General features: G+C 36.8%; 1 protein-coding gene across 1 annotated transcript in view; it reads left to right on the plus strand.

The window, feature by feature from the left end:
- The window catches only part of PTPRQ (protein tyrosine phosphatase receptor type Q), a 236,039-nt gene continuing 216,230 nt past the window's right edge, over window positions 322-20,130 (plus strand). The window contains exons 1-6 of the mRNA NM_001145026.2: window positions 322-486; window positions 828-936; window positions 1,578-1,804; window positions 13,662-13,731; window positions 15,371-15,570; window positions 16,740-16,989. Coding sequence (NP_001138498.1) covers window positions 433-486; window positions 828-936; window positions 1,578-1,804; window positions 13,662-13,731; window positions 15,371-15,570; window positions 16,740-16,989 — 910 coding nt within the window. The 5' untranslated portion in view covers window positions 322-432. The remainder of the gene's footprint in view (window positions 487-827; window positions 937-1,577; window positions 1,805-13,661; window positions 13,732-15,370; window positions 15,571-16,739; window positions 16,990-20,130) is intronic.

Genomic DNA, 20,130 nt, shown 5'->3' on the forward strand with positions numbered 1-20,130 from the left:
TATAGTTTTCATTATTGTACTTGCCGAGCCTACTTGTATTTATATTTTGCTCCTAATAGGAAAGTTCTTTATTTTATGAAACCCATCTACCACAAAAACTTACTCCTTGTTGGGTTTTTGAAAGCATAAGTTGAAGACAAAAACGTTGATGTCAAACTGATGAGTGTTAAGTTTCAGCATTGGTGGACTGTTACCTTAGCAACATCTATGCTGCTTTTTTTTTTTTTTTTTTTTTTTAAGTTCACCCTGAACCTACAGCCAGTCATCCAAGGGTTCATGAATAGTTTAACAAAGAAAAGGCAGAGCTATTGAGTAATATGGGCTCATTAATTGTGTACTTGCCAGAAGGATCTGTCTTTAAATCATTAATGCAGGCAACATTTCTCTCTAGAGCCATCAATGTGATTCTACTGGCTGAAAAATGTAATAAAGATGGATTTTCTTATCATTTTTCTTTTACTTTTTATTGGGACTTCAGAGACACAGGTATTTCGTATACACTCTTTAAAAACAAGGGCTAAGTCATGGGCTGTAGATTTCTCAAGACTTGAATAGTTGTTCCTTGTGACAGTGAACTAGGATAGATAGAAATGCTGACTTAGGCTGTGATAACGCAGTACGTTTTGTAAGTTTTTATTTTAAAGTCATTTGGTAAAAAGTTATATAACATATTTGTATCTTACAATAATATGGAACTTATTGTGATGTTATAAACAGTGCAGAGTTATATAGTGAAGAGTTAATTTTTGTTATAGTGATAGATTTATTTTAGCTTGCTTGCTTTCCAGAAAGAATTTTAATGCAACTATTTGTTTGTGGTGTTCTAGGTTGATGTTTCCAATGTCGTTCCTGGTACTAGGTACGATATAACCATCTCTTCAATTTCTACAACATACACCTCACCTGTTACTAGAATAGTGACAACAAATGTAACAAGTGAGTATATGTTTTAAATTACTTTGTAAGTAAAGTATTTGGAGTCAGTATAATTCTACTGGATGGAAATACTTATACTGGCAACATGTACATTAAATTCATGAAAACAGTGTAGAATAAGGCAAAATGGAAACAAGAAAGTGATCTGCTTAGAACCTGCATTCTGCTGTTTCTTCAGCTTCCTTTACTTTCAAAGTGCAAAGATAATTACTCTATACTTGTTTGTGAAATAGATCAGAGAGACTGTTAATGCTAACATTTAAATAATACAGAACCATGAAAATGAACTGGCTACATTTGCTCAGGAAGGATTATTCCATTTGTAAGATTATTTCTTGTTTTCTTAGTTTTTCTGTGTAAGCCTTGCGTAAGTGAATTTCTTTTAAAAATGATTTGGCAACAAAAGTATATTCGGCATGTAGTATTTATTTAGTAGCATTCCATTTTTCACATTCTTATAAAGGAATGCTTTTGGTATTCCACATAGTATTTTTTTAATAGTAACAGAGCTGTAGGGAGTGTGAACTCATATTGCTCTTTGGAAATTTCAAATTTTACATTTATAAATACTGTTATTATGTATTTTTGTGAAAATGCAATAATTATTTGACCTTTTAACAAAATGGATTTTTTAAAAATAGAACCAGGGCCTCCAGTCTTCCTAGCCGGGGAAAGAGTCGGATCTGCTGGGATTCTTCTGTCTTGGAATACACCACCTAATCCAAATGGAAGGATTATATCTTACATTGTCAAATATAAGGAAGTTTGTCCGTGGATGCAAACAGTATATACACAAGTCAGATCAAAGCCAGACAGTCTGGAAGTTCTTCTTACTAATCTTAATCCTGGAACAACATATGAAATTAAGGTAATTATTTTGTGTATGACTACTTAGTGTTCAAACATTTCATTCATTTTAAAAGTGTGGGAGGTTTTTCTCACCTTGTCAAGCCTTTACAGCTGAATACAGTCAGTGACTGACAACGTTCACAGTCATGGCCTCACACCCACCTGAGATTTTAAAACTTGGTAAAATGTTATTGTGTCTTTTCATTTCAATTTTATGCATATTTATATATTACCTATTTCATTTTTTCTATGAATATTTTTGCATATATTTATATACATGTATGAATATAATACAATACTCTAGGAAATAAAAATTATGTAAAGTTAAAGAAGGAAAACTTAAATGCAAACAAGAGGCCAGGGTAGTTTGAATGCAGGTATGTAAACCACAGGATGTTACACAGTTATTAAAAATTGACTTGCAAACTTTATTCTCCAAATTCCTAGAAACCACAGTAAAAAGGGCAATAAATCTGTTATACAATTTACGTATGAAAATTGTATAATAATTGCATATGGGAGCTCAAGTTTTTTTTTTTTTTGGTGCTTTAGACTGGAAAGAAAGTCTTCGTTGAAGGATTAATAGCTGCAGGACTGGATTTTGTAAACTTCTTTCCATAACAGTAAAATAATAAAAGTATACTTAGTAAAAATAATTTTGCCAGGTTTTGAGATATTGTGGTCTAAGAACATGGCCTTGTTCTGTATATAAAATTTAGACTCCAATGAAATGTCTTTTTTTTAAATTATTTTTGATTCAGGGGACATGTGTGCAGGTTTGTTACGTGGGTATATTGTGTAATGGTGGGGTTTGGGCTTCTAGTATACCCATCACCCAAATAGTAAACATTGTACCCAATAGGTAATTTTTCAATCCTCACCCTCTCCTACCCTCCCCATTTTTGAAATCCCGTGTTTATTATTTCCATTGTTATGCCCATGTGTACTCATAGCTCCCACTTGTAAGTGAGAATGTGTGGTATTTGATTTTCTATTTTTGAATTATTTCACTTAGGATATGTTCTCCAGCTCCATCCATGTTGCTGCAAAGAACATGATTTTATTTTTTATGCCTGCATAGTATTCCATGGTGTATATATACCACATTTTCTTTACCCATATGATAGATACTTAGGTTGATTCCATGACCTTGCTATTGTGAATAATGCTGTAATAAACATGAGTGATGGTGTCTTTGTGATACAATGATTTCTTTTCCTGGATAGATACATAGCAGTGAGATTGCTGGGTTGAATACGGTAGATCTATTTTCAGGTCTTTGAGAAATCTCCGTACTGTTTCTCATAGAGGTTACATTTCTAGCAACAGTGTATTAGTGTTCCCTTTTCTCTGCATCCACACTGCCATCTGTTTTTTTGACTTTTTAATAGTAGCCATTCTGATTGGTATAAGATGATGTCTCATTGTGGTTTTAATTTACATTTCTTTGATAATTCCTAATGTTGAGCATTTTTTATATACTTACTGGCCACTTGTGTGTCTTCTTTTGAGAAATGTCTGTTTATGTTTTTTGTCCACTTTTTAATGGGGTTTTTCTCCTTGTATTGTTTTCATTCCTTGTAGATTCTGGATATCCATCCCTTGTTGGAAGCATAATTTGCAAATATTTTCTCCAGCTCTGTAGGTTTTCTGTTTACTCTGTTAATTATTTCCTTTGCTGTGCAGAAGCTTTTTAGTTTAACTAAGTCCCATTTAAGTCTATTTTAGTTTTTGTTGCATTTGCTTTTGATGTCTCAGTCATAAATTATTTGCCTAGTCCAATATCCAGAAGAGTTTTACCTAGTTTTTCTTACTAGTATTTTTATAGTTTCAGGTTTTATATTTAAGTCCTTAATCCAGAATGTGCTAATTTTTGTATATGCTGAGAGCTAAGGATCCAGTTTCATTCTCTTGGATATGGCCAGCCAGTTTCCCCAGCACCATTTATTGAACAGAATATCCTTTCCCCATTGTTTATTTTTGTCAACTTTGTCAAAAATCAGTTGGTTGTAGGTATGTGACTTTATTTCTGGGTTTTCTATTCTCTTCCATTAAAGTATATCTGTATTTTTCTATCAGTACTGTGCTATTTTAGTTACTATAGCTTTGTAGTATAATTCGAAGTCAGGTAATGTGATGCCTCCAGATTTGTTCTTTTTGCTTAGGATTGCTTTCATTATTTGGGCTCTTTTTTGGTTTCATATGAACTTTAGGATTGCTGTTCTAATTCTGTGAAAAATTACATTGCTAATTTCATAAGAATTGTGTTGAATCTGTAGATTTCTTTGGGTGGTATGGTATGTTGATTCTTCCAATCCAAGAGCATGGAATGTTTTTCCATTTGTTTGTGTCATCTCTAATTTATTTCATGAGTGTCTTGTAGTTCTCCTTGTAAAGATTTTCACCTCCTTTGTAAAATGTATTCCTAGATATTTTATTTTTTTTGTGGCTATCGTAAATGGGATTGAATTCTTGATTTCATTCTCAGCCTGAATGTTATTGGTGTATAGAAATTCCACTTATTTTTGTACACTGAATTTGTATCCCAAAACTTTATTGAAATTGTTTATCAAGTCTAGGATTATTATTTTTGAGTTGTCGTTAGAGTTTTCTAGATATACAATTGTGTCATCAGTGAACAAAGATAGTATGCTTCCTGTTTTCCAATTTGGATGCCTTTTTAAAATTATTGTACTTTAAGTTTTAGGGTACATGTGCACAATGTGCAGGTTAGTTACATATGTATACATGGGACATGCTGGTGTGCTGCACCCACTAACTCGTCATCTAGAATTAGGTATATCTCCCAATGCTATCCCTCCCCACTCCCCCCACCCCACAACAGTCCCCAGAGTGTGATGTTCCCCTTCCTGTGTCCATGTGTTCTCATTGTTCAATTCCCACCTATGAGTGAGAATATGCGGTACTTGGTTTTTCGTTCTTGCGATAGTTTACTGAGAATGATGATTTCCAATTTCATCTATGTCCCTACAAAGGGCATGAACTCATCATTTTTTATGGCTGCATAGTATTCCATGGTGTATATGTGCCACTTTTTCTTAATCCAGTCTATCATTGTTGGACATTTGGGTTGGTTCCAAGTCTTTGCTATTGTGAATAGTGCCGCAATAAACATACGTGTGCATGTGTCTTTATAGCAGCATGATTTATAGTCCTTTGGGTATATACCCAGTAATGGGATGGCTGGGTCAAATGGTATTTCTAGTTCTAGATCCCTGAGGAATCGCCACACTGACTTCCACAATGGTTGAACTAGTTTACAGTCCCACCAACAGTGTAAAAGTGTTCCTATTTCTCCATATCCTCTCCAGCACTTGTTCTTTCCTGACTTTTTAATGATTGCCATTCTAACTGGTGTGAGATGGTATCTCATTGTGGTTTTGATTTGCATTTCTCTGATGGCCAGTGATACTGAGCATTTTTTCATGTGTTTTTTGGCTGCATAAATGTCTTCTTTTGAGAAGTGTCTGTTCATGTCCTTCACCCACTTTTTGATGGGGTTGTTTGTTTTTTTCTTGTAAATTTGTTTGAGTTCATTGTAGGTTCTGGATATTAGCCCTTTGTCAGATGAGTAGGTTGTGAAAATTTTCCCCCATTTTTTGGGTTGCCTGTTCACTCTGATGGTAGTTTCTTTTGCTGTGCAGAAGCTCTTTAGTTTAATGAGATCCCATTTGTCAATTTTGTCTTTTGTTGCCATTGCTTTTGGTGTTTTAGATGTGAAGTCCTTGCCCATGCCTATGTCCTGAATGGTAATGCCTAGGTTTACTTCTAGGGTTTTTATGGTTTTAGGTCTAACATTTAAGTCTTTAATCCATCTTGAATTGATTTTTGTATAAGGTGTAAGGAAGGGATCCAGTTTCAGCTTTCTACATATGGCTAGCCAGTTTTCCCAGCACCATTTATTAAATAGGGAATCCCTTCCCCATTGCTTGTTTTTCTCAGGTTTGTCAAAGATCAGATAGTTGTAGATATGCGGCATGATTTCGGAGGGCTCTGTTCTGTTCCATTGATCTATATCTCTGTTTTGGTACCAGTACCATGCTGTTTTGGTTACTGTAGCCTTATAGTATAGTTTAAAGTCAGGTAGTGTGATGCCTCCAGCTTCGTTCTTTTGGCTTAGGATTGACTTGGCGATGTGGGCTCTTTTTTGGTTCCATATGAACTTTAAAGTAGTTTTTTCCAATTCTGTGAAGAAAGTCATTGGTAGCTTGATGGGGATGGCATAGAATCTATAAATTACCTTGGGCAGTATGGTCATTTTCACGATATTCATTCTTCCTACCCATGAGCATGGAATGTTCTTCTTTTGTTTGTATCCTCTTTTATATTTCATTGAGCAGTGGTTTGTAGTTCTCCTTGAAGAGGTCCTTCACGTCCCTTGTAAGGTGGATTCCTAGGTATTTTATTCTCTTTGAATCAATTGTGAATGGGAGTTCACTCATGATTTGGCTCTCTGTTTGTCTGTTATTGGTGTATAAGAATGCCTGTGATTTTTGTACATTGATTTTGTATCCTGAGACTTTGCTGAAGTTGCCTATCAGCTTAAGGAGATTTTGGGCTGAGACGATGGGGTTTTCTAGATATACAATCATGTCATCTTCAAACAGGGACAATTTGACTTCCTCTTTTCCTAATTGAATACCCTTTATTTCCTTCTCCTGGCTAATTGCCCTGGGCAGAACTTCCAACACTATGTTGAATAGGAGTGGTGAGAGAGGGCATCCCTGTCTTGTGCCAGTTTTCAAAGGGAATGCTTCTGGTTTTTGCCCATTCAGTATGATATTGGCTGTGGGTTTGTCATAGATAGCTCTTATTATTTTGAGATACGTCCCATCAATACCTAATTTATTGAGAGTTTTTAGCATGAAGCATTGTTGAATTTTGTCAAAGGCCTTTTCTGCATCTATTGAGATAATCATGCGGTTTTTGTCTTTGATTTTGTTTATGTGCTAGATTACATTTATTGATTTGTGTATATTGAACCAGCCTTGCATCCCAGGGATGAAGCCCACTTGATCATTGTGGATAAGCTTTTTGGTGTGCTGCTGGATTCCATTTGCCAGTATTTTACTGAGGATTTTTGCATCGATGTTCATCAAGGATATTGGTCTAAAATTCTCTTTTTTGGTTGTGTCTCTGCCTGGCTTTGGTATCAGGATGATGCTGGCCTCATAAAATGAGTTAGGGAGGATTCCCTCTTTTTCTATTGATTGGAATAGTTTCAGAAGGAATAGTACCAGTTCCTCCTTGTACCTCTGGTAGAATTCGGCTGTGAATCCGTCTGGTCCTGGACTCTTTTTCGTTGGCAAGCTATCGCTTATTGCCACAATTTCAGAGCCTGTTAGTGGTCTATTCAGAGAGTCAACTTCTTCCTGGTTTAGTCTTGGGAGGGTGTATGTGTCGAGGAATTTATCCATTCCTTCTAGATTTTCTAGTTTATTTGCATAGAGGTGTTTGTAGTATTCTCTGATGGTAGTTTGTATTTCTGTGGGATCAGTGGTAATATCCCCTTTATCATTTTTTATTGCATCTATTTGATTCTTCTCTCTTTTCTTCTTTATTAGTCTTGCTAGCGGTCTGTCAATTTTGTTGATCCTTTCAAAAAACCAGCTCCTGGATTCATTAATTTTTTGAAGGGTTTTTTGTGTCTCTATGTCCTTCAGTTCTGCTCTGATTTTAGTTATTTCTTGCCTTCTGCTAGCTTATGAATGTGTTTGCTCTTGCTTTTCTAGTTCTTTTAATTGTGATGTTAGGGTGTCAGTTTTGGATCTTTCCTGCTTTCTCTTGTGGGCATTTAGTGCTATAAATTGCCCTCTACACACTGCTTTGAATGCGTCCCAGTGATACTGGTATGTTGTGTCTTTGTTCTCGTTGGTTTCAAAGAACATCTTTATTTCTGCCTTCATTTTGTTAGGTACCCAGTAGTCATTCGGGAGCCGTTGTTCAGTTTCCATGTAGTTGAGCGGTTTTCAGTGAGTTTCTTAATCCTGAGTTCTAGTTTGATTGCACTGTGGTCTCAGAGACAGTTTGTTATAATTTCTGTTCTTTTACATTTGCTGAGGAGAGCTTTACTTCCAACTATGTGGTCAATTTTGGAATAGGTGTGGTGTGGTGCTGAAAAAATGTATATTCTGTTGATTTGGGGTGGAGAATTCCGTAGATGTCTATTAGGTCCGCTTGGTGCAAAGCTGAGTTCAATTCCTGGGTATCCTTGTTAACTTTCTGTCTAATGTTGACAGTGGGGTGTTAAAGTCTCCCATTATTATTGTATGGGAGTCTAAGTCTCTTTGTAGGTCACTCAGGACTTGCTTTATGAATCTGGGTGCTCCTGTATTGGGTGCATATATATTTAGGATAGTTAGCTCTTCTTGTTGAATTGATCCCTTTACCATTATGTAATGGCCTTCTTTGTCTCTTTTGATCTTTGTTGGTTTAAAGTCTGTTTTATCAGAGACTAGGATTGCAACCCCTGCCTTTGTTTGTTTTCCATTTGCTTGGTAGATCTTCCTCCATCCTTTTATTTTGAGCCTATGTGTGTCTCTGCATGTGAGATGGGTTTCCTGAATACAGCACACTGATGGGTCTTGACTCTTTATCCAATTTGCCAGTCTGTGTCTTTTAATTGGAGCATTTAGTCCATTTACATTTAAAGTCAATATTGTTATGTGTGAATTTGATCCTGTCATTATGATGTTAGCTGGTTTATTTTGCTCGTTAGTTGATGCAGTTTCTTCCTAGCCTTGATGGTCTTTACAATTTGGCATGATTTTTCAGTGGCTGGTACCGGTTGTTCTTTTCCATGTTTAGTGCTTCCTTCAGGAGCTCTTTTAGGGCAGGCCTGGTGGTGACAAAATCTCTCAGCATTTGTTTGTCTATAATGGTTTTTATTTCTCCTTCACTTATGAAGCTTAGTTTGGCTGGATATGAAATTCTGGGTTGCAAATTCTTTTCTTTAAGAATGTTGAATATTGGCCCCCACTCTCTTCTGGCTTCTAGAGTTTCTACTGAGAGATCCGCTGTTAGTCTAATAGGCTTCCCTTTGTGGGTAACCCGACCTTTCTCTCTGGCTGCCCTTAACATTTTTTCCTTCATTTCAACTTTGGTGAATATGACAATTATGTGTCTTGGAGTCGCTCTTCTCGAGGAGTATCTTTGTAGCGTTCTCTGTATTTCCTGAATGTGAATGTTGACCTGCCTTGCTGGATTGGGGAAGTTCTCCTGGATAATATCCTGCACAGTGTTTTCCAACTTGGTTTCATTCTCCCCATCACTTTCAGGTATACCAATCATACGTAGATTTGGTCTTTTCACATAGTCCCGTATTTCTTGGAGGCTTTGTTCATTTCTTTTTATTCTTTTTTCTCTAAACTTCCCTTCTCACTTCATTTCATTCATTTCATCTTCCATCACTGATACCCTTTCTTCCAGTTGATCGCATCGGCTCCTGAGGCTTCTGCATTCTTCACGTAGTTTTCGAGCCTTGGCTTTCAGCTCCATCAGCTCCTTTAAGCACTTCTCTATATTCGTTATTCTAGTTATACATTCGTCTACATTTTTTTCATAGTTTTCAACTTCTTTGCCTTTGGTTTGAATTTCCTCCTGTAGCTCGGAGTAGTTTGATCGTCCGAAGCCTTCTTCTCTCAACTCGTGAAAGTCATTCTCTGTCCAGCTTTGTTCTGTTGCTGGTGAGGAACTGCGTTCCTTTGGAGGAGGAGAGCTGCTCTGCTTTTTAGAGTTTCCAGTTTTTCTGCTCTGTTTTTTCCCCATCTTTGTGGTTTTATCTACTTTTGGTCTTTGATGATGGTGATGTACAGATGGGTTTTTGGTGTGGATGTCCTTTCTGTTTGTTAGTTTTCCTCCTAACAGACAGGACCCTCCGCTGCAGGTCTGTTGGAGTTTGCTAGAGGTCTACTCCAGACCCTGTTAGCCTGGGTACCAGCAGCGGTGGCTGCAGAACAGTGGATTTTCGTGAACCGCAAATGCTGCTGTCTGATCATTCCTCTGGAAGTTTTGTCTCAGAGGAGTACCCGGCCTTGTGAGGTGTCAGTCTGCCTCTACTGGGGGGTGCCTCCCAGTTAGGCTGCTCGGCGGTCAGGGGTCAGGGACCCACTTGAGGAGGCAGTCTGCCCGTTCTCAGATCTCCAGCTGTGTGCTGGGAGAACCACTGCTCTCTTCAAAGCTGTCAGACAGGGACATTTAAGTCTGCAGAGGTTACTGCTGTCTTTTTGTTTGTCTGTGCCCTGCCCCCAGAGGTGGAGCCTACAGAGGCAGGCAGGCCTCCTGGAGCTGTGGTGGGCTCCACCCAGTTGGAGCTTCCAGGTTGCTTTGTTTACCTAAGCAAGCCTGGGCAATGGCGGGTGCCCCTCACCCAGCCTCGCTGCCACCTTGCAGTTTGATCTCAGACTGCTGTGCTAGCAATCAGGCAGACTCCGTGGGGGTAAGACCCCCTGAGCCATGTGCAGGATATAATCTCCTGGTGTGCCGTTTTTTAAGCCCGTCGGAAAAGCGCAGTATTCGGGTGGGAGTGACTGGATTTTCCAGGTGCCATCTGTCACCCCTTTCTTTGACTAGGAAAGGGAACTCCCTGACCCCTTGCACTTCCCGAGTGAGGCAATGCCTCGCCCTGCTTCGGCTCACGCACGGTGCGCTGCACCCACTGTCCTGCACCCACTGTCTGGCACTCCCTAGTGAGATGAACCCGGTACCTCAGATGGAAATGCAGAAATGGATGCCTTTTATTTCTTTCTCTTGCTTGATCGCTCTGGCTAGGCCTTCCAGTACTGTGTTCAATAGGATTGGTGAGAGTAGACATCCTACTTTTGTTGCATTTCTTAGGGATAATCCTTTAAACTTTTCTCCGTTTAGGATTATGTTGGCTGTGGTTTGTCATATATAGCTCTTATTATTTTGACATATGTTCCTTTGATGCCTACTTTGTTGAGGGTTTTTATCATGAAGGGATATTGGATTTTATTAAATGCTTTTCCTGCATCTGTTGAGACGATCATATGGCTAACAGGGCTGGGAGAAAAATATTGAAAAAAAAACTTTAAGTTTAATAAAAAAGTAGAATATTTTTACTTAAAAAACTTATAAAGGCGAAATTATTTAATTCAAACTTAATTTATTTTCCAAAAAAGTCACTAAGCTAAAGCTTTTAAAAACAGATAGCTTCGGCTGGGTGCAGTGCCTCATGCCTGTAATCCCAGCACTTTGGGAGGCCGAGGCGGGCGGATCACCTGAGGAGTTCAAGACCAGCCTGGCCAATATGGCGAAATCCCATCTCTACTCAAAATACAAGAAATTAGCTGGGCATGGTGGCGAGTGCCTGTAATCCCAGCTACTCTGGGGGTTGAGGCAGGAGAGTCACTTGAACCCGGGAGGCAGAGGTTGCAGTGAGCTGAGATCATGCCATTGCACTCCAGCCTGGACAACAAGAACAAAACGCCGCCAAACAAAACAAAACAAACAAACAAAAAAACAGATAGCTTTTGCTCTTTGCACATTGTACTTTATAAAGTGTCTTTATAGAGTATCGTTTATACTTTATGAAATTGATAACTTTGGTTAATTATTTAAAAAAACTTTAGCTTAGTGACGTTTTCAAAAATAAATCAAGTTTAAATTAAATAATTTAGCCCTTATAACTGAAAATATTTCATTTTAAAATAAAACTTATAGTTAGCTTTTCATTTTTCTTCCAAATCTTCTTGTTTTTACATGTCTGTTGACATTTTGGATATTGGTTTGAACATTTCTAAAGTGCCACTTTTGCTAAGAATCGTGAACTCAATGTAATTACTTTCAACAAATATTTCTTGAACATTTACTATTTCTTTTGCATTTATAAAAAAGTCTCGTCCTTTACATAGTTGTTTTTTTTTTTTTTGAGATGGACTCTCGCTCTGTCGCCCAGGCTGGAGTGCAGTGGCCCGATCTCGGCTCACTGCAAGCTCCGCCTCCCAGGTTCACGCCATTCTCCTGCCTCAGCCTCCCAAATAGCTGGGACTAGAGGCGCCCGCCACCATGCCCGGCTAATTTTTTCGTATTTTATTTTTTTTTAGCAGAGACGGGTTTCACTATGTTGGTCAGACTGGTCTCGAACTCCTGACCTCGTGATTCGCCCACTTCTGCCTTCCAAAGTGCTGGGATTACAGGTGTGAGCCACCGCGCCCAGCCGTCCTTTACATAGTTAATATGTAAAATTTAACATCATCTCATTTGAATACTACAGAAAGATGAGCTTATAAAAAGCAGTGCTAAATTAGGCCACAGGAAAATGCTTCCAGTTAAGGGATAAGTATGACATTTCCAAGGGATAATAAAGGGTAAAGATATCTTCTGGATCCTCCCTCAATATAACATCAATATCTTCTTTGAACCTTGAAAATAATTAAATAGAGAGAAGAAAATATATAAAACCTGTGTAAATATGTGATTTTATATAAATGAGATGTTCTTCCTAGAGGATAAGAAATATTGGAAGAGATTTTTGCCAGGAAGTTTTTTCTTACTGGAAGTGTGCCTATTTGCAGAATTAAAGAACACGATCAGAACTGGAAAGCAAATACTAATAGTGTGAGTCTTACAATGAGAAAAGAAAAAAAATTCTTACCTATGTAGAAGTCAAAATAAAAGATTTGTGATGACTATTTCATGAAGAAAACATAGCTTAAAGAATAGGCAACCTTTTTCTAACTGACATCTGAGTATTATATAATATAGGTATTTTCTGTCAATATGTACACATTCAGATTAATTAACATGTCAATATATGCTATTGGGGATAATTAAAAATTTTTAATGTGCTGTAAGAAACTATTGCTGATAGGAAGGTGATTTAGTCAACCTAGTTCTGCTTAGATCTATTTTTATGGAGCTTGAATTTTTATTCCTGTGAATTCTCTTATTTAAGGTCTATTGGGAAGCCCTTACTCTCCGTTTCATCTCACACTTTATAAATCATTCTTGTGACCTTTACTCTGTTCAAATAAATGTTAGCCATTGCAGAATTCCAAAGGGTATTTGGCATGATACATTTGATGTCTTCAGTGTAAGTAATGTTATAGGAAAAATCCTGTTAAGTATTTTACATGTGCTATTTCATTTAGTCCTCAGCACAATCCTATAACATAGATACATTATTATTCCCATTTTAAAGACAAGATAAATGTTACTTACAACAGTTAAGTAAATTGCTCAAAGCTACTATCTGGGAATTGGTAGAACTACAGTTAAGCCAAGGTTATGATTCCAGTCATGGCATTTGCAAAAGCTTGAGTCTTATTCTCATTAATGACATTTTCTTTTTCTATTCTAGTCTATTGGAAGATATTATTCAAATCAAATTTTTTTATCTTTAAAATTCTGGAATTCTTAGTTTAAATTATTAATTAAATGTACTTATCTAATTTATTTTTTTAAAACAGTTTTTTGAGTATTTGTTTGCCTGATTAGATTGTGAACTCTAAATTAAGGTACCATATACATGGTCTCTTGCATTTGTTACAGAAATAATTGTAATGTCTTTTATGTAGTGGATATATCAGAGAAAGACTGAGCTTTCAAAATAAACCCAACTGCAACTGGATTCTTGCTCTACCATTTATTCCTGTGTGACCTTGGGCAAAGGTATTTGACCTCTCTCAGCCAGTTTTCTCATCTATACAATTTTGACAATAATACTTTATTTGTTGATTGTATAGATATCTTCATATTTGCCTTCTTCCTTGAGAGTATTAAAAAAGTATCTTTGGCATTTATCTTATGGATAAGTCAAAGTTTTGTTTTAAATTTTAGATTCTCTTTTTTCAGGGAGTAAAATGTTTGAACACAATCCTTTTGGTCTGTTCTAGGTTGCTGCTGAAAACAGTGCTGGCATTGGAGTGTTTAGTGATCCATTTCTCTTCCAAACTGCAGAAAGTGGTAATTTTCCTGTCATTTATTTTAAATTGACTTAGTCATGAGTTTGTCGTTTAAAATAATAAAGAACATAAATAAAAACTGACACTAAAATACATATAATTCTCAGTAGCATGGCCACTTAATTAGTTTTAGAGTTCTTTCGGATAGCTAATTTATTCCTTAAAATATATATTATTCTTTCTGATTATAAGAACAGTAAATGTTATCTTACAAAACTTTGAAAAAACAAGAATAAAAAATGAAAATTATCCATAGACTTATCATATAAAAAATGCTTTTATCATTTTGGTGCATTTCTGGCTTGTCTATTTCCCCCATTAATATGTATCTATATGACTATACATTAATGAAAATAAGCTTGTGCTACATATGCAAGTTTATATCCTGCCTTTTCTTTTTAACATGAAGTCATAAGCTTGTTATAACATAAGACTTTTGGAAACACGGATTTTAATGGTTATTATATTATTGGGTAACATGCAGTCATTACCAAACCAATTTAAGATACCTCCATTCTTCCAGGGGCATAGAGGAAAAATCTTGATGTCACCTGTGGCTCTTTTCTCTCACAGTACACATCTAATCTATCAGTAAATCTTACCAGCACAATCATCAAAGTGTATTCTGAATCTCACACTCATTGCTGACATCCTGTCCAACATTATTCCCAAGAATTGTTGCATTATATTTTATTTTTATTAGAATGCAGCTGTCCTGAAGTCCCTTAATTCCTACCTTATATCATTCATATAGACCTCCTTCCAAAGATCTAACTTTCTTATGTAATTTATGTGGCTATTACTTATAAATTATATTTTAGCATCCTTTTGTACAATGTAAACCTAAACTCTAGTTATTTGGCATCTTAATACTAGGCATCTTTACTATCACTTATTTTTTTTTTATCTCAGACGTTTTGTTTCATTTTGATTTCTTTCAAAAATGACTTGTCATGTTTGTTTTATATTCTGAAGGATCTTGGTGTTTTACTCTATCAGTTTTACACACTTTACCATGAGGTTAATGGGAATAATTTCCCCTAATTCTAGCTTCATATTGGTTTCAAGCCAACTCAAATAGAACTCAGATTATTATTATTATTACTCTATATAATTAATAATTGATAGAAAAGCATAATGAAATTCTGAAGTAAGTTGATTTTGAAAATGTAAAATACAATAATTACAACCAATTGCAGGGTATCCACTTGATATTAGGCACTAGACATTTATAAACATTCCAGAAATCTGCTTTTTGGTGAAAATGGTTGTATAATTGATTCAGTTTGCTATGTTTTTCATATCTAATGAAACTACATATTCCAAAATAGTTAAGGAAATAAGAAATTTATCCCAACTTGTTTGTATATTCACAACTATTGATTGAATTTTTTTCATACTTATTTGAAACGTTTCATCAATGCATGTATTAGCCCAGTTATCCTAAAGTAAAGTTGACTTGCCCCAACTCCAGTTTTTTATTTTAGGCAAAGTTCAGTTAAATACATTTATAAAAATCTTACACAAATAGATTTTATGCAGTGTATTATATATTTAATTTCATGTACCATGAAATTATATAAATGCAATTCTAAGTTTTATAACAAAGTTTTTTCCTTCCCAATCTTTCTCTTCCCCAGCTCCAGGAAAAGTGGTGAATCTCACAGTTGAGGCCTACAACGCTTCAGCAGTTAAGCTGATTTGGTATTTACCTCGGCAACCAAATGGCAAAATTACCAGCTTCAAGATTAGTGTCAAGCATGCCAGAAGTGGGATAGTAGTGAAAGATGTCTCAATCAGAGTAGAGGACATTTTGACTGGGAAATTGCCAGAATGCAATGTAAGTATCACAGAACACTTTCTATGTCTTGAAAAATCTTAGATAAATTTAATTTTCATATTTCTAGCATCTAGATACTATATTTTTACCAAAGTTTTATTAGTTATTTGATTACTTATGGTATCATGTTATACACAACGTTTTATTATTTGATTACTTAGGGTATCATGTAACACAATTGGCCTCATTCAGGTAGAATACAGGAATGGTTTGAGAATTCAAGAGTGAGGGATTAAAATCATTTAGGGAATTCTGAAAAGACTTCATCAAAGGAGTAGCATTTGTGATACACCATGGAGCAAGGACAGATAGAGATTTTGTGATGGTGGCATTCCCGGTGGAGGATACTTTATAAAGCCCTGAGGTGGAAAAGTGTAAGATATAATTGGAGAAAATATTTTACTTCCATATGACAGGAGGGAAGAGTACATGTAGGGTAATAGTTGAGGTTAAATTTGCAGAGGTAGACTGTCATTGTTGTGCATATCTTTGGTAAAGAATTTGTCGTTACTCTGGTCATTGATGATAAACCTCATAATAGTAATGCTTTATTATAGAATAAGCATCGTCATTTTAATTATATGATAAGCATAATAATGCTTTTCCTAAAATCATTTTGGTAATCTCTGTGTTACTATTAATGCAAACACAGTCAAACAGTTATTTTTGCTGTAAATACTTTATAAAAGTCTAAAAATCTTCTTTTTCAACTTATGATATAGTTCTAATACACGCACACACCTAACGTGTGAGCTAGTGGCATACTACTACTTTTTAGTACTTATGAGAAAAAAAAGTTCATTAACAGTAAGAAAGCAGCATTTGAACATACACAAGAGTAAAATTATTTCAGCTCTTTGGCTCTTGCACTGTTAACATGAAGCTTAAAAATTCTTACAGATGATTGTGCTGTAGTTTTACCTTTATTTTAAGCCACTTGAAATTCTATTCGTAAAGGTTAAGGTATAAGGAATACAATAAATATGTCCTCTTCTAAAACTGCAGACATAAATGGGTACAATTAAAATCTAGCAAATTTGTCTATAACTTTTGCATGTTATGTGTGTATGTATAGCATAAAAGAAAAAGAAATGAATTACATGTTCTTATTCTTATGTTCACCAAGAGATACAACATTATTTCTCTATTGATCTTATTTTATTTACTAGGAGAATAGTGAATCTTTTTTATGGAGTACAGCCAGCCCTTCTCCAACCCTTGGTAGAGTTACACCTCCATCGCGTACCACACATTCATCAAGCACGTTGACACAGAATGAGATCAGCTCTGTGTGGAAAGAGCCTATCAGTTTTGTAGTGACACACTTGAGACCTTATACAACATATCTTTTTGAAGTTTCAGCTGCTACAACTGAAGCAGGTTATATTGATAGTACGATTGTCAGAACACCAGAATCAGGTATGGTTCACTTTTTGTAGATAAAAAGATTTAAATGATTAGAGAATAATGTTTAATTTATGTAGATATTTAATTTTAATCTTCTTTACCTTTCAGTAACTTTTTTCCCCTAATAATATACCATAGGCATCCCATCAAGGGTTTCTTCGAATTTCTATACTCTTTTATATTATAGCACAAAATAAGTATTTGAAAGGAGAAAGATTTGCAAAAAACAATTCTTGAGCCACTGACCGTGATCCTCATATAGCTTTTATCATTTTATAATGTCAGCAATTTTTAGTAATCATCTTTGCCGTTCTAAATGATTTATAATCATTTACACCCTTCTCTCACTGTTATTGCCATCATCAAAAGCAGAAATACCTGCACTAGCAGAACGAGCATGTGATCAACATTTAGTTATCAGATACAAGCAGTAGCTAAAATATATACCTACTTATATCCCATTTGCACTGCAGTTTCCTCATCTGAAAAATAGAGACAGTAATAGTACCTTCCTTAGGGTGCCAGTGTTAAAATTAAATGAGAATAATTAGATATTATCATTACTACTGAATTTTATGAGAACATATTTTTGGTAAGGTATTCATATATTTAATTATGGTACTATATCAGTATTCATGTAAATACATGTATTTATGTATTTCATATATTTATAAAATTTAAGGGATATTGATATAGTCCCACATTACATAAGGTATTTATTATATATATAATATATATAGCTGACAGATATATCATAATATAGTATCAGGCATTAGGTTGTAATTGCTAATTTCTGAGGTATTGAAAATTATTGGTAGGGTAATTTCACTAAAGCATGTTTTTTCTGATAAAATAGCTGTTGGCTTCTATTATTTTTCATTTCATATAAGTTTGAAGTTTTTTTGTTCATTTAAATAACCATCTTTGAATTATACCATTTTCTTCTTACATACTCCTTACTTTTTATACAATAAAAAAATGATTTCGGGGGGAGCCAAGATGGCCGAATAGGAACAGCTCCGGTCTACAGCTCCCAGCATGAGCGATGCAGAAGACGGGTGATTTCCGCATTTTCATCTAAGGTACCCGTTCGTCTCACTAGGGAGTGCCAGACAGTGGATGCAGGTCAGTGCGTGCAGTGCGCCGTGAGAGAGCCGAAGCAGGGCGAGGCATTGCCTCACTTGGGGAGCACAAGGGGTCAGGGAGTTCCCTTTCCTAGTCAAAGAAAGGGGTGACAGATGGCACCTGGAAAATCCAGTCACTCCCACCCGAATACTGCGCTTTTCCGACAGGCTTAAAAAACGGCACACCAGGAGATTATATCCTGCACATGGCTCAGGGGGTCCTACCCCCACGGAGTCTGCCTGATTGCTAGCACAGCAGTCTGAGATCAAACTGCAAGGTGGCAGCGAGGCTGGGTGAGGGGCACCCGCCATTGCCCAGGCTTGCTTAGGTAAACAAAGCAGCCTGGAAGCTCCAACTGGGTGGAGCCCACCACAGCTCAAGGAGGCCTGCCTGCCTCTGTAGGCTCCACCTCTGGGGGCAGGGCACAGACAAACAAAAAGACAGCAGTAACCTCTGCAGACTTAAATGTCCCTGTCTGACAGCTTTGAAGAGAGCAGTGGTTCTCCCAGCACACAGCTGGAGATCTGAGAACGGGCAGACTGCCTCCTCAAGTGGGTCCCTGACCCCTGACCGCCGAGCAGCCTAACTGGGAGGCACCCCCCAGTAGAGGCAGACTGACACCTCACAAGGCCGGGTACTCCTCTGAGACAAAACTTCCAGAGGAATGATCAGACAGCAGCATTTGCGGTTCACGAAAATCCACTGTTCTGCAGCCACCGCTGCTGGTACCCAGGCTAACAGGGTCTGGAGTAGACCTCTAGCAAACTCCAACAGACCTGCAGCGGAGGGTCCTGTCTGTTAGGAGGAAAACTAACAAACAGAAAGGACATCCACACCAAAAACCCATCTGTACATCACCATCATCAAAGACCAAAAGTAGATAAAACCACAAAGATGGGGAAAAAACAGAGCAGAAAAACTGGAAACTCTAAAAAGCAGAGCACCTCTCCTCCTCCAAAGGATGGCAGTTCCTCACCAGCAACAGAACAAAGCTGGACAGAGAATGACTTTCACGAGTTGAGAGAAGAAGGCTTCGGACGATCAAACTACTCCGAGCTACAGGAGGAAATTCAAACCAAAGGCAAAGAAGTTGAAAACTTTGAAAAAAATGTAGATGAATGTATAACTAGAATAACCAATACAGAGAAGTGCTTAAAGGAGCTGATGGAGCTGAAAGCCAAGGCACGAGAACTACGTGAAGAATGCAGAAGCATCAGGAGCCAATGCAATCAACTGGGAGAAAGGGTATCAGCGATGGAAGATGAAATGAATGAAATGAAGCAAGAAGGGAAGTTTAGAGAAAAAAGAATAAAAAGAAATGAACAAACCCTCCAAGAAATACGGGACTATGTGAAAAGACCAAATCTACGTATGATTGGTATACCTGAAAGTGATGGCGAGAATGGAATCAAGTTGGAAAACACTCTGCAGGATGTTATCCAGGAGAACTTCCCCAATCTAGCAAGGCAGGCCAACATTCAGATTCAGGAAATACAGAGAATGCCACAAAGATACTCCTTGAGAAGAGCAACTCTAAGACACATAATTGTCAGATTCACCAAAGTTGAAATGAAGGAAAAAATGTTAAGGGCAGCCAGAGAGAAAGGTCGGGTTACCCACAAAGGGAAGCCCATCAGACTAACAGTGGATCTCTCGGCAGAAACCCTAGAAGCCAGAAGAGAGTGGGGGCCAATATTCAACATTCTTAAAGAAAAGAATTTTCAATCCAGAATTTCATATCCAGCCAAACTAAGCTTCATAAGTGAAGGAGAAATAAAATACTTTACAGACAAGCAAATGCTGAGAGATTTTGTCACCACCAGGCCTGCCCTAAAAGAGCTCCTGAAGGAAGCACTAAACATGGAAAGGAACAACTGGTACCAGCCGCTGCAAAATCATGCCAAAATGTAAAGACCATCGAGACTAAGAAGAAACTGCATCAACTAACGAGCAAAATAAACCAGCTAACATCATACTGACAGGTTCAAATTCACACATAACAATATTAACTTTAAATGTAAATGGACT

The sequence above is a fragment of the Homo sapiens genome, chromosome 12, assembly GCF_000001405.40.
Source record: "Homo sapiens chromosome 12, GRCh38.p14 Primary Assembly".
Classification (NCBI taxonomy): domain Eukaryota; kingdom Metazoa; phylum Chordata; class Mammalia; order Primates; family Hominidae; genus Homo; species Homo sapiens.